The sequence below is a fragment of the Homo sapiens genome, chromosome 2 (genome assembly GCF_000001405.40).
Source record: "Homo sapiens chromosome 2, GRCh38.p14 Primary Assembly".
In the NCBI taxonomy this organism is placed as follows: domain Eukaryota; kingdom Metazoa; phylum Chordata; class Mammalia; order Primates; family Hominidae; genus Homo; species Homo sapiens.
Genome location: NC_000002.12, coordinates 206,152,821 through 206,166,315, shown reverse-complemented (window position 1 = coordinate 206,166,315; position 13,495 = coordinate 206,152,821). Strand labels below are relative to the sequence as shown.

Genomic DNA, 13,495 nt, shown 5'->3' with positions numbered 1-13,495 from the left:
TGCCTTCTGAGACTATTTGTTTAAAACAAGTTCATGAGCCAGGCGCAGCAGCTCACGCCTGTAATCCCAGCACTTTGGGAGGCTGAGGAGGGGGTATCACAAGGTCAGGAGTTTGAGACCAGCCTGGCCAACATGGTGAAACCCCATCAAACTAAAAATACAAAAAATTAGCTGGGCATAGCGGCAGGCACCTGTAATCCCAGCTACTTGGGAGGCTGAGGCAGGAGAATCGCTTGAACCCGGGAGGCAGAGGTTGCAGGGAGCTGAGATCGCACCACTGCACTCCAGCCCAGGCAACAGAGTGAGACTCCACCTCAAAAAAACAAAACAAAACAAAACAAACCAGTTCATTCAATATATTGGCTCTCAAGAAAATGAGTACCAGGGTTTTCTACTGCAGCACTGCCCATAATAACAAAACATTAAAAGCAACCTAAGAATCCAGTCAACAGGAGACTGTCTAAATGAACTATGAGAAAATGAATTATGAAATGAGAACATGAATTATGCATCTATTAAATAAGGATGTACTAATAATGGGATATCCAAGGCATAATCTCCAAGGTGTTCATTTTTTTTTTTTTTTTTTGTATTTTTAGTAGAGACAGGGTTTCACCATGTTGGCCAGGCTGGTCTCAAACTCCTGACCTCGTGATCCCCCACCTCTGGGATTACAGGTATGAGCCACCGCGCCTGGCTCTTTTTTTTTTTTTTTTGAGACAGAATGCAGTGGTACAATCTCAGCTCACTGCAATCTCCGCCTCCCGGGTTCAGGCGATTCTCCTGCCTCAGCCTCCCAAGTGGCTGGGACTACAGTCGTGCGCCACCACGGCCAGCTAATTTTTGTATTTTTAATAGACACAGGGTTTCACCATGTTGGCCAGGATTGTCTGGATCTCTTGACCTTGTGATCTGCCCACCTAGGCCTCCCAAAGTGTTGGGATTACAGGCGTGAGCCACCACACCCGGCCCCAAGGTGTTCATTTTCAAAAGGAAAATGCAAGGTGCAAAAGTCTATGTGGTGTGTTACAATTAGTCTATGCATAAGCTTACAGTGGCTCTGCAAAGACCTAAGAACCTGTTAACACTGCTTTGATGGAGCGGAACTGGAGGCCTAGGGGACAGGAGAGACTTCATTGTACATACTCTTGAGTTTTGAACTGTTGGTATATTATCTTTTTTTTTTTCTTTTGAGATGGAGTCTCACTTTTGTCGCCCAGGCTGGAGTGCAGTGGCGTGATCTCAGCTCACTGCAACCTCTGCCTCCCGGGTTCAAGCAATTCTCCTGCCTCAGCCTCCCAAGTAGCTGGGACTACAGGCGCATGCCACCACACCTGGCTAATTTTTTGTATTTTTAGTAGAGACAGGGTTTCACTGTGTTAGCCAGGATGGTCTAGATCGCCTGACCTCATGATCCAGCTGCCTCGGCCTCCCAAAGTGCTGGGAATACAGGTGTGAGACACCACATCCGGCCATGTGTTTTTTAAAATATGAAGTTAAAAGATACCATCAAAATATTTTTTATTCAAGGGTGTAGAATCAAGATTTCAAAATGGTATGCCTCATCATTCATCACTGTAGGATTCTGAAGACATCTGTGGTTTGAATTGACCATTCTAAATTTTTGACCACCTTTAAACTAATTATTAATCATTAGTTTTCTCATCATAAACTTCTGCTGATAGTTAACATTTTGGCCAAGCTATTTGGAACTCAACCCCTTCACCATGTCAATAATTGCAAATTTTTATTACCATTCACCGAAGTTTATTCATGGTTTTGGTTTTTTGTTTTTTGTGTTTCTTTTGGCATTTTCATTATTCCCAAACTCTCTGGTTTTCCAGAAAATGTAGTGCTGCCCTCTGCTGGCTCTTATGATAATGACAACCTGAAAATGTCTCCCATGACTTTTAGGCTGTTGGATTATAAACATTGCTTAGAGATATTATTCAATGTATCTATCTGTTAAATAAATCTTCCTTATAATATAGTTTCCCACAGTCAAGGCAGTCACAACATAAAATCAGATGGAGAAGAAATAGCACTGTATAGTTCTATTAAAAAATTGACCTAGGGGCTGGGCATTGTGGCTTATGCCTATAATCCCAGCACTTTGGGAGGCCAAGGTGGGTGGATCACCTGAGGTCAGGAGCTCGAGACCAGCCTGACCAAAATGGTGAAGCCCCGTATGTACTAAAAATAGAAAAATTAGCCAGGCATGGTGGCGCATGCCTGTAATCCCAGCTACTCAGGGGGCTGAGGCAGGAGAATTGCTTGAACCTGGGAGGCCGAGGTTGCAGTGAGCTGAGATCACACCACTGCACTCTAGCCCAGGCAACAGAGTGAGACTCCATCTCAAAAAAAAAAAAAAAAAAAAAATTGACCTAAAATTTTTTGATCATTTGAGATCAGCAATTCCCAAGCACTGCTTTTGTAAAACTACTATTTAAAAAAATGTATCAAATGTTAGCCAGACCCCAAATTCCCTGTTAAGATTAAACGGTTTCCAATACTTGACCATCTCTTCACTCAACATACTACCCTCATCCCAGTATTTACCTGCAGCATGAGAACCAATCAGATTTCCAAATCCAAGTAAAATATTCCGCCTCTACAACCCAGCACCTATGAATCTTCACAGCAAAGTCAAGTTTTTCTGGGAAGCCTGGGAACCAGTTACCTATATAATCCCCCTCCCAGGACACAGTGCTACTCCAAATCACATTCCCAACACTTAAAAGATGGTTTCTTTACATCATGAGTCATTATTTTAAATTTGTAACCTGTTAAGTAGTTGTAAGTCATGCCAAATTCTGGGAAGCCCTCCCTCCTCTGGGTTAGGTGTCTTCTAGCAGTGTCACACATCTCACATCAAGTTCCCAGTGCAAAGATGCTAGGTTACAACAAATCACATCATCAGGCACTGCTAAGGACATCACAAGTGGGTAAAGTTGCACTACAATTTTTTTTCTTTTGACAGGACCTTGCTCTGGCACCCAGGCTGGAGTGCAGTCGCACAACCTTGGCTCACTGCAGTTTCAACCTCCTGGGTTCAAGAAATCCTCCCACCTCAGTCTCCCAAATAGCTGGGAATACAGGGGTGCACTACCATGTCCAGCTAATTTTTATATTTTTTGTAGAGACAGGATCTCTCCCCATTGCCCAGGCTGGTATCAGCCTCCTGGTCTCGATCCAGCCACTTCAGCCTCCCAAACTGCTGGGATTACAGGCATGAACCACCACACCTGGCCTGCACTGCAATTTTCTAACAACAATGCCAAACCAAATTTGGGGTATTTAGGAATCACATATTCATTTAATTCCTTCCCCCAAAATGAAAGGAATATATACACCACCCTCCTATGTAACATACTCAAGAGCCAAAGGTAATCTTTCAATCTTTTATTTAAATGCCATGATCCAGGATGGATTTTAGATCTTGTTGAAAGCAGCCACATCCATGGACTGCACATAGTCCTCAAAAGCAGTGATCTGCTCCTCCAGCATATCTGTTCCAACTTTATCATCTTCAACTACACACTGTATTTGAAGTTTCTTAATTCCGTATCCCACTGGAACTAGTTTAGCTAAAAAGAGCATTAAGAAAAATCCTAGTTAGAAAAGTCTTGTAGGAAAGGTTGAAACTGTAGGCAAATTCCAGATGTTAGTTTCAAAAAAAAAAAGGCAAAGCCTAAACTCACATGAGCCCCAGACTAAGCCGTCTGCTTGAATGCTTCTGACGCACTCCTCTAATTTCGCCATATCTGTCTCATCATCCCAAGGTTTCACATCTAGTAAGATGGAAGACTTGGCAACAAGTGCAGGTTCTAAAAACAATAAACAGCATTATTCAAATAATGAATTGTATTTTTTTCACCCTACTCCAAGACACAAACAAATCCATCTCAATTTGTTTTGAGACTATCTCCTTAGCCAAACAAAACTACAGATACATCTTGTGTCTGTCACACATATATACCCACTTTCTGTTTTGCTAAGAAAGAGGTGTTTGTGTTAACAGTTTCTTTCCCACAGAGGAATGCCACAACTGCTACCATAAGAACAGCTGCAGACCAGTAGCTGTGGAAGAACCTGTACAGGTTTTAAAATATTGACCTATTCAAGGAATGTGGAGGAAATTACTTCAAGGTCAAGCTTTGAAAAAGATTACTTACATTAACATGAAATGAAGTTAAAAACAAATGACCTACTTTTGGCTTTCTTTGATTCATATTGTGCAAGACGTTCTTCCCTTAGCCTCTTTGCTTCTTCACTTTCCTGTAAAGAAAAAAAATTAATCCACTTCAGAAAGCTGGTTGTTCCTCTGCTTAAAGCTAGTGGGGTCATCACAAAAAAGACTGGCTTAATCAGAAAAAAGCAAATCCATCACGAACTCAGCCGAAAGATGGTGATTTGATTTTATTCATCATGCAACCAGTCAGAATTTGAAAAAGGCATATAAATTAAAGCCAGGATTCAAATCCAGGCAATTTGGCTTAACCACATTGATACAATTGCTGATCGATGTATTCTTTTTTTTTTTTTTTGGGACGGAGTCTCGCTCTGTCGCCCAGGCTGGATGCAGTGGCACGATCTTGGCTCACTGCAACCTCCGCTTCCTAGGTTCAAGCAATTCTCTGCCTTAGCCGCCTGAGTAGCTGGGATTACAGATGCCTGCCACATTTTTTTGTATTTTTAGTACAGACAGGGTTTCACCATCTTGGCCAGGCTGGTCTTCAACTCCTGACCTCGTGATCCACCCGCCTCAGCCTCCCAACATGCTGGGATTACAGGCATGAGCCACTGCGCCTGGCCGATATGTTCTTTATAGAAGACGCCATACCTCCTCATCATCAGATCCAAAGAGGTCAATGTCATCATCATCTTTACTATCTGTAGCTCCACTTCCTGTAGTGTCTTCCACATCGGCAGGACCATATTTGCCCAAAGCTTTCTTCACTCCTGGCAGGCTTGAAAAACATTTAAATTCAACCACTATTGAGCTAGTATAACATCCTTTTCCAGAAAATACAAAATAACTTGTTTTAATCACTACTTATCACTAGATCCCTTTTGCAATCATAATTTACCCTTTCACATGCGCCCAGGTAAACACTGTCATATGTTCAACTCCTCACCCGACAAGCATTAGTACCATGTGAGACATTATTTTCAATACTCACTATGATTTACTCTTTCAGTATGAACATTTCTGTTTGAGATTTCATTAAGTATGCTCAGTTCCATTCTTAGTGAACTGGAGTCCACTTCCCCAAACTTCCACCCTTGTTGGCAGTTTCAGAAGAATGGCCAAGGACTGAATGAATGAGCCACCCTCTCACCCCAGAGGTGGGCCCCCCAGGTCAAGGTCGAGGCACATTGGCAGGGCAGTGTGGGGAAAAGTTGAATTGCTGCTGTCCATGTTCTACCTGTTCTGTGAAAAAATGGAGGGCTTCAGTCTCTTGGCCTTCTAAGGTTACAGAAAAATTTAGCTTACAATATCCCAACAAAACTAAAGTAGCCTGGGTCCAGTTTTGTCATGTGAACATCCTGATAAACTTCGAGAGCAGTCTTATTCTTCAGCTCTATACAAAGATGATTTTACCTGGCCTTTTCCTTTTCGTAAGACTTGATGTGATTATACCAACGTAGGGCATGACACAAGTCGGCAGGCGGTGGGCTGGACACGGCTTCAAATACTGCCACATCTGCTTGTGATGGCACATACCTGCCAAGGACACAGAAACATTCACACACACCTTTGAAAAACAAACGCCAGCGAATAAATAATAAATACCGTATGCATCACATTAATTAGTGGGCACTAACCCCAGCAGGGTTGCTTTAATGCTTTTCTTTTCTTATTAGCTCCTTCAAATCAAACCATATGTTTGGGTCACCGCGCTATCCTGAGAAATGTCTGCCACTAAGTAGACCTCAAATACTGCAATGTCTGGCGTTGCTCTATCTACAGCTTAACATGTATTAACTGGGCAGCGATGCGGAAACACCTGGCTGAATTAAGTGTAAATAAAGCACATTTTAACCTTTCCTTGCTCGTGAACCGCTCCCCGGAGGCCGGGCTCGCCCCACACGAGGGCCTTGGGAGACGGCAACGGGGCGCTTTCCCCTCCCTCTCGAAAGGGCCCCGGGCCCGGCCTCCCTCCCTCCCGCGGCAGCCGACACGCTGCGCCACGTGGCCCCGGCCCCGGGCGGAGAAACCTCCCCGCCACCCCGACTCAGCCCGTCCGCTCACCCCTCGATGTAGCTCTTGTCCGCCAGGTAATCGTTGAGCACCTGGAGGCCGGCAGGGCTTTTCAGGTCTCCGAAACCCATGGTGTCGGCTGTATCCGAGAGCTGGGGAGCAGCAGAAAGAGAGCGCGCAAATTGTGGGCGCCCCACGCTGAAGAGAGGAAAAAGGACCCGAAGAGACCGGAAAATTCCTTATATAGAGACGGAGGCGTTTCCCTCCACCGCGCCGGACCGAAGGTTAAAGGTCAAAGTACTTTTGCATTCCCACTTCTCCACGTACGAATTGGGGGCCCTGAATTAAATGGCCCACAAATTGTCCATGGACCTTTCGTTGCGTTTGGAAGTAAATTAATAAAATAGGCATGTCTTAAGTTCGTACCTCCACGGCTCCCGAAGATGACGGGAACCAGCCCTAGAAGCGCCGGAGATGACCGAAGACGCCCGGCCTCGAGGCTGGGGCCACTTCCGGCGGAACTGCGGGTCCAAGTTGTCCTTCCCGCCTCCGGGCTGGGCCGACCTCAGCTCCGCCCTCTGGTCGGCTGACGGAAATTGCCGACAAACTTGTCGAATGCAAGGATTCTAGTCCCTCCGGGCTTTCCGTTCTCCAGGCCCGGCTGACAGAGTTAGCCGAGGCCGCCATATTGAATAAGCGACCCGGCCTCCTAGGGGGTCGTCGTGGTCCAGACAGTTTAGCAGAACAGCCTCCGCGGCTCCGGGGAGAAGGTGAGGTCTTGTATGGATGGGAAGGGTGAGGTGCGTCGGCCAGAGGCTTATTTATTGACGGGACTGTTTCCTTTGGCCCACGCGACGTAGTCTTCTGTTGTCCTTGACTGGGCGCCGCCTCCCGCCCCGCCGCCTCGGAAGCCCCTGAGAGCCGGCAGATGGGGGGCTTTTAGCCACGGTCTCTGGTCTGATGAAGCAGAAAAGAAGATGAGGATCAGGGGGTCCTCGGGAACGCTGTCACGAATGTAGGCTTGCAGGTGACCTTCCCTCTGCAGGGAAAATTCAGGACATTTCCCTCTCAGAGGAGGAGGCCGTTTTATTCCCCGGGAGAGGACCAGTGTCCGATGACTTAGGCCTTAAGACTAAGCCTTTCCCCCCAGATTTTTACACGCCTGATACAGTGCATGATTGTTTGGTCGCTGTTGTGTTAGCAATGGCTCACGCTTCTGTTTGTTGTCCTTGTTTGTTTGGTCCATTGACCACGTTGGACAGCATTTTTTTATTCCTTTAACTAACGGGAAATTGAGAAAAACGACTTTTGAAAAGTTAGCCCAGGATTGCATTGCAAATAACAAAACGTTGTTTACAGGTTATTGGGATCCAGTGCTTGAACTGTAAGGTCTTGGATCAGACACAACTCTGTTCACACACGAATTGACGGTATAGAAGTGTAACGTTAACTGTTTTTGATGAATAAACAAGTTATTTTTGTTTTGCGGAATATTCTTGTTTTCACCGACTTAAGGCTGCCAGAGCACCTGCACTTTTTAAATCCGGGAAAGTGGTCTCTACAAATTAACGACCAGAAATTAGAGATTCAGTTCACTTAACCGTTATTGAACATTTACTACGAGCCAGAAATGAGTCCGTAAAGAAGAATAAAATGGATGATATGCTGGGGGAATCGTAAATGTTAGATAGCCTGGTCAATGAAACTGAGAAAAGGCTTTTAAGCCAAGATTTGAAGGATAAGGAGGGGCCAGGGAAGAGCATTTCAGTCTGAGGTCACAGCCGGTGGCAAGAGGGGAGAGGCTGTGTGGGAATAGTGTGGAAGCTTGGTGACCTGTTAAGCTATTGAAGGCCGGAGGCGGTGGCTCACTCCTGTAATCCCACCACTTTGGGAGGCCGAGGCGGGCGGATCACGAGGCCAGGAGATCGAGACCATCCTGGCTAACACGGTGAAACCCTGTCTCTACTAAAAATACAAAAAATTAGCTGGGCGTGGTGGCGGGCGCCTGTAGTCCAGCTACTTGGGAGGCTGAGGCAGGAGGCTGGCGTGAACCCGGGTGGCGGGGCTTGCAGTGAGCCGAGATCGCTCCGCTGCACTCCAGCCTGGGCGACAGAGCGAGACTCTGTCTCAAAAAAAAAAAAAAAAAAGCTATTGAAATACTCCAGGCAAGGAGTGATGGTGGATTGGGATAGGGTGGTACCTTGGAAGGCAAGAAGTAAATGGATGGATCCATGTTGGAGAACGTGGAATAGCATAGTCCCTATATGGAAAAGTATCCAGTCTAGTTTAAGAAATGATTAGTCATTAACATTTTCCATCCAAAGAGATAATTATTTCTATTGCTACTTGGCATATCAATGTTCAAAGCACATATCGAAGTGTTGCAAATCTGTATTTCTTATGTTGGGCTATGCTTTGTTGCTGGATGTCAACAGTCTAGTTCTAGTTGATTTCCTATCCAAAGTGAGTACTATTTTTATATTGCATTGGAGATAAAAAAGTATTAAAGTTTTAAAATTGTATGAAATACTGATTGTTGATTTCAAATCTGTCAGTGCTCTAATGGAGTAAGTTTAGGTTTATATTTATGCCATCAGTAGTTTTTAATAGGACAGATGCTACTCTAGTTCTAGAACTTGGTGATAAGACTGTTTGGTGGTTATTTTCATAAGGGTCCTGTGCTAGGTCTTCAAAAAAGGGAAATGTCCAAATTCCTTGTCCTCAAGGAGCTTACAGTCTGGTAGGTACTAAAATTGATTACTAACCTACAGTTTAGTAAGTAAAACAAAAATATCTACACAGTGTGTACTGGTACTAAAGAAAAAGAGCTCAAAGAAAGAGTGCTTTAAAATTGGTTGTCTGCCAGGCGCGGTGACTCACGTCTGTAATCCCAACACGTTGGGAGGTCGACGCGGGTGGATCACTGAGGTCAGGAGTTTGAGACCAGCCTGGCCAACATGGCGAAACCCCTTCTCTACTGAAAATACAAAAATTAGCCGGGCGTGATGACAGGTGCCTGTAATCCCAGCTACTTGGGAGGCAAGAGAATTGCTTGAACTTGGGAGGCGGAGGTTGCAGTGAGTCAAGATCACACCATTGCACTACAACCTGGGTGACAGAGTGAGACTCTGTCTCAAAACACACACACATACTGATTGTCAGTGGCCAGTATTGCCTAAGTTGAATTCAGCTTTAACTGGCATTTGTTGAGCCCCTACTAATAGCTCATTGTCTAGGAAGTATTGTTTTCCTCCTGCTCTATAAGTAAAGAACCAGAAACTCATTTACCCAACATTACTCACTAGCAGGAAACAGATTGGATATTTGCAATTTCAGTATCACATATTCTTAATTAATGAAATTTATGAATGAAATTTCCTGTTGTACATCATCTATGATAAGTATGCAGAATTTTGTGCTTAAAACCTATGTATATGTACTATTATTCAATAATACTATTGCAACTATTGAAACTTTAATGTTGAAATTTTTTAATACGTTCTAATCACATAATTTGCCTTTTTTCTTTTTTTTTTGAGACAGGGTCTTATTCTGTCACCCAGGCTGGAGTGCAGTGGCATGATTGTAGCTCACTGTAACCTTGAACACCTGGGCTCAAGCCATGCTCCCAGGTCAGCCTCCTGTGAAGCTGGGACCACAGGCGCATGCCACCACACCCAGCTAATTTTTTTTTTTTTTTGGTAGAGATGGGATCATGCTGTGTTGCCCAGGCTGGCCTCTAACTGTTAGACCCAAGCCATCTTCCTGTGATGGCCTCCCAAAGTGTTGAGACTACAGGCGTGAGCCACCTCTCCTGTCCAATTTGCATTTTTTTTTTTTTTTTTTTTGAGACAGAGTGTTGCTCTGTCGCCCAGGCTGGAGTGCAGTGGCGTGATCTTGGCTCACTGCAAGCTCCGCCTCCCGGGTTCACGCCATTCTCCTGCCTCAGCCTCCCCAGTAGCTGGGACTACAGGCGCCTGCCACCACGCCCGGCTATTTTTTTGTATTTTTAGTAGAGAAGGGGTTTCACCATGTTGGCCAGGATGGTTTCGATCTCTTGACCTCGTGATCCACCTGCCTCAGCCTCCCAAAGTGCTGGGATTACAGGCATTTTTAATACCTTTAAAAGTTCCAAATGATTTTGGATGCTCAACCTATATGATCAAGTGAATAGAAGGAAAGTTCAGTGCTTAGCCTATATGATCAAGTGAGTAGGAAAAAAAAAAAACTCAAAAAGTTTAGAAGTTTTGGTGACTTGGCCGGGCGTGGTGGCTCACGCCTGTAATCCTAGCACTTTGGGAGGCCAAGGCAGGTGGATCACCTGAGGTCCGGAGTTTGAGACCAGCCTGGCCAACATGGCGAAACCCCATCTCTACTAAAAAATAAAAAAATTGGCCAGGCGTATTGGCTCACACCTGTAATCCCAGCACTTTGGGAGGCCAAGGCAGGTGGATCACCTGAGATCAGGACTTCAGGACCACCTTGGCCAACGTGGCGAAACCCTGTCTCTACTAAAAATACAAAAATTTGCCGGGCATGTTGATGGGCGCCTGTAATCCCAACTACTCGGGAGGCTGAGAATTGCTTGAACCTGGGAGGTGGAGGTTGCAGTGAGCCGAGATCTTGCCACTGCACTCCTGGGTGACAGAGTGAGACTGGGTGACAGCAAGACCCCTGCCTCAAAAATAAATAAATAGGCTGGGCACAGTGGCTCACTCCTGTAATCCCAGCACTTTGGGAGGCTGAGCTGACTGGATCATGAGGTCAGGAGATGGAGACCATCATGGCTAACACGATGAAACCCCGTCTCTACTAAAAATACAAAAAATTAGCCTGGCATGGTGGTACACACCTGTCCCGGTTACTCAGGAAGCCAAGGCAGGAGAATCGCTTGAACCTGGGAGGCGGAGGTTGCAGTGAGCTGAGATCGCGCCACAGCACTCCAGCCTGGGCAACAGAGCGGGACTCCGTCTCAATAAATAAATAAAATAAATAAATAATAAAAATACAAAAATTAGCCTGGCATGGTTGTGCATGCCTGTAGTCTCAGCTACTCTGGAGGCTGAGGCAGGAGAATCGCTTGAACCCAGGAGGCAGAGGTTACAATGAGCTGAGATCGTGCCACTGCACTCACTCCAGCCTGGGCAACAGAGTAAGACTCTATCTCAAAAAAAAAAAAAAAAAAAAAGGGCCGGGCACGGTGGCTCACGCCTTAACCCCAACACTTTGGGAGGTCAAGGTGGGCGGATCATGAAGTCAGGAGTTCGAGACCAGCCTGGCCAACATGGTGAAACCCTGTCTCTACTAAAGATACAAAAAATTAGTCGGGTGTGGTGGCGGGTGCCTGTAATCCCAGCTCTTCAGGAGGCTGAGGCAGGAGAATTGCTTTAATCCGGGCGGTGGAGGTTGCAGTGAGCCGAGATTGCACCAGTGCACTCCAGTCTGGGTGATAGGGCGAGACTCCATCTCAGAAACAAACAAACAAAAACAAATAAAAAGAAGTTTTGGTAACTTTTCTGTTTTGTGTGTCTTTAAGTCGTGGTGTTTATATAATCGACACCCATTTATTTCAGTAATTCAGCAAGCCTTTTAGAGCAGTGTCTCAACTTCAGCACTGTTGACACTTTGGATAATTATCTTTATTGTGGGGGACTGTCCTGTACATTGTAGAATAGCCAGCACCTTGTCCTCTACCCACTAGATGTCAGTAACTTCCCCTTGTTTGTGACAACAGTGTGTTCAGACATTGCTAAATATTCCCTGGGGAGCAAAATTGTCCTCAGTTGAGAGCCATTGTTTAAGAGCTTACTCTGTGCCAGCCTGGTGGATAGGTACTGAAGATAGAAAAATTCAAGGAATTAATGCAGTGAGGGCAGAACGGGCTTATAAACACATAATTGGAAATCTGTAAGATAAGTGTACCAGAAAATAGCAATCAAGACACCTCAAAGGCTTGGGCTGGTGAGCTATCTCAGAATATCTCAGGAACATTTAGTAGACAGCTATGCTTAGAACATGAAATGATAGAATGGGTATTGGTAGGAAATAAAAGCAGAAAAGACAACTTTATTTTACATAACCATTAATGATAAGCTCACTGTTAGTCTTGCAGTTTATTTTACTGTGTGGTAGTGCTTTAAGTTTGATCCTTTCTATGTCATTTTTTTTTAAATGGCAAAACTGCTCTCTGCATAGAATTAGAAAGTCCAAATGTATACAATAGCTGCTGCTGCTTAGCTCTTTGACATTGTACAAGTCAGTATCTCTGAGACTGAGAATTCTCATCTACAGACTAAGTGAAAATATCAGAACCTATGAGTGTTCAATGACATAATGTATGTGAAATAATTTAAAGCCATAAAACATTACCAAACAGTTGGTGATTGTTTTTTTCCCTACAATAATATAATTCTTTGTTTTATTTTTAGCAATATGTTAAGGATACCTGTAAGAAAGGCCTTAGTAGGCCTTTCTAAGTCTCCTAAAGGATGTGGTGAGTATTTTCTTAAATTTGCATTCGTGGATATTAGACCTTATTTTTGTAAATTTATAAGTCTATGGCATAGTTTATCAAAGACCCTAAACCCATGATTTTTTAAAATAAAAATAGAAACCGGCCGGGTGTGGTGGCTCATGCCTGTAATCCTAGCACTTTGAGAGGCTGAGGCAGGTGGATTGCTTGAAGCCAGGAATTCAAAACCAGCCTGGCCATCATAGTGAAACCCCATCACTACTAAAAATATAAAAATCAGCTGGGCATGGTGGGGCACACCTGTAATCCCAGCTACACAGGAGGCTGAGGCACAAGAATAGCTTAAACCCGGGAGGTGGAGGTTGCATACAGCCAAGATTGTACCACTGCACTCCAGCCTGGGAGATAGATCGAGACTCCATCTTGGAAAAAAAAAAAAAAAGAAGAAACAAATGATCTAAGTTGAATAATTTTCAAAATATAATTTTACTTTAAACAGTTTATAGGAATTATCATGGAATAGAAAGTATTAGGAACTACACACATCAATGCCAAAATGGAAAAATCACATTCTGTTTTTGAAAAGTGATCTTCCCATGAACATATTTTCAGTGACATTAAGAGTTTCAGTTTAAAGTTGGGTATGGTGGCTCACTCCTGTAATCTCAGCACTTTGGGAGGCCGAGGCAGAAGGATTACTTGAGGTCAGGAGTTTGAGACCATCCTGGCCAATATGGCGAAACCCTGTCTCTACTAAAAATACAAAAATTAGCGGGCGTGGTGGTGAGTTCCTGTAATCCCAGCTACTCGGAAGGCTG

At 44.5% G+C, this 13,495-nt stretch overlaps 2 protein-coding genes and 2 non-coding genes across 10 annotated transcripts in view, besides 3 other annotated features; 1 reads left to right on the top strand and 3 right to left on the bottom strand.

Moving 5' to 3' along the window:
- Positions 3,388–6,707, bottom strand: EEF1B2 (eukaryotic translation elongation factor 1 beta 2). 3 transcript variants are annotated; one of them, NM_001037663.2, is made up of 7 exons: positions 6,632–6,707; positions 6,257–6,403; positions 5,606–5,728; positions 4,844–4,970; positions 4,212–4,278; positions 3,702–3,827; positions 3,388–3,587 (listed from the first exon to the last, which is right to left on the bottom strand). In NM_001037663.2, the coding sequence occupies exons 2-7, from the start codon at positions 6,334–6,336 to the stop codon at positions 3,433–3,435; spliced, it is 678 nt and encodes a 225-aa protein (NP_001032752.1). In that variant the 5' UTR covers positions 6,337–6,403; positions 6,632–6,707; the 3' UTR covers positions 3,388–3,432. The 3 variants fall into 3 exon arrangements, with proteins under 3 accessions (NP_001032752.1, NP_066944.1, NP_001950.1); NM_021121.4 differs by having other exon boundaries at positions 6,257–6,357; NM_001959.4 differs by lacking the exon at positions 6,632–6,707 and having other exon boundaries at positions 6,257–6,421.
- SNORA41 (small nucleolar RNA, H/ACA box 41) lies at positions 3,957–4,088 on the bottom strand. Its single transcript, NR_002590.1, has one exon. It is a non-coding gene; the product is annotated as a small nucleolar RNA, H/ACA box 41 (small nucleolar RNA).
- SNORD51 (small nucleolar RNA, C/D box 51) lies at positions 4,366–4,435 on the bottom strand. The gene has a single exon (NR_002589.1). It is a non-coding gene; the product is annotated as a small nucleolar RNA, C/D box 51 (small nucleolar RNA).
- Positions 6,085–6,154: a silencer, noted in NCBI's record as "silent region_12266". NCBI's record gives its function as "represses an Ori minimal core promoter by ATAC-STARR-seq in GM12878 lymphoblastoid cells {active_cell/tissue: GM12878}" and the evidence as "EXISTENCE:reporter gene assay evidence [ECO:0000049][PMID:35858748]".
- Positions 6,415–6,674: an enhancer, noted in NCBI's record as "active region_17026". NCBI's record gives its function as "activates an Ori minimal core promoter by ATAC-STARR-seq in GM12878 lymphoblastoid cells {active_cell/tissue: GM12878}" and the evidence as "EXISTENCE:reporter gene assay evidence [ECO:0000049][PMID:35858748]".
- Positions 6,785–7,194: an enhancer, noted in NCBI's record as "active region_17025". NCBI's record gives its function as "activates an Ori minimal core promoter by ATAC-STARR-seq in GM12878 lymphoblastoid cells {active_cell/tissue: GM12878}" and the evidence as "EXISTENCE:reporter gene assay evidence [ECO:0000049][PMID:35858748]".
- Positions 6,872–13,495, top strand: part of NDUFS1 (NADH:ubiquinone oxidoreductase core subunit S1) — a 44,628-nt gene continuing 38,004 nt past the window's right edge. For 4 of the 5 annotated variants that reach the window (NM_001199982.2, NM_001199983.2, NM_001199981.2 and 1 more), the window contains exons 1-2: positions 6,872–6,975; positions 12,634–12,698. In NM_001199982.2, the coding sequence (NP_001186911.1) occupies positions 12,694–12,698 (5 nt within the window). In that variant the 5' untranslated portion in view covers positions 6,872–6,975; positions 12,634–12,693. Of the gene's footprint in view, positions 6,976–7,106; positions 7,221–12,633; positions 12,699–13,495 lie in introns of those variants that run through there. The other variant, NM_001199984.2, reaches the window with a different exon arrangement.

Bases quoted from the DNA above. Each gene is read 5' to 3' on its own strand.
- EEF1B2 (NM_001037663.2), bottom strand. From the start codon at position 6,336: ATGGGTTTCGGAGACCTGAAAAGCCCTGCCGGCCTCCAGGTGCTCAAC. The intron at 5,729-6,256 runs GTGAGCGGACGG...TGTCCTTGGCAG, and splicing joins GACAAGAGCTACATCGAGGG to GTATGTGCCATCACAAGCAG. The intron at 4,971-5,605 runs GTAAAATCATCT...ATGTTTTTCAAG, and splicing joins TACGAAAAGGAAAAGGCCAG to CCTGCCAGGAGTGAAGAAAG.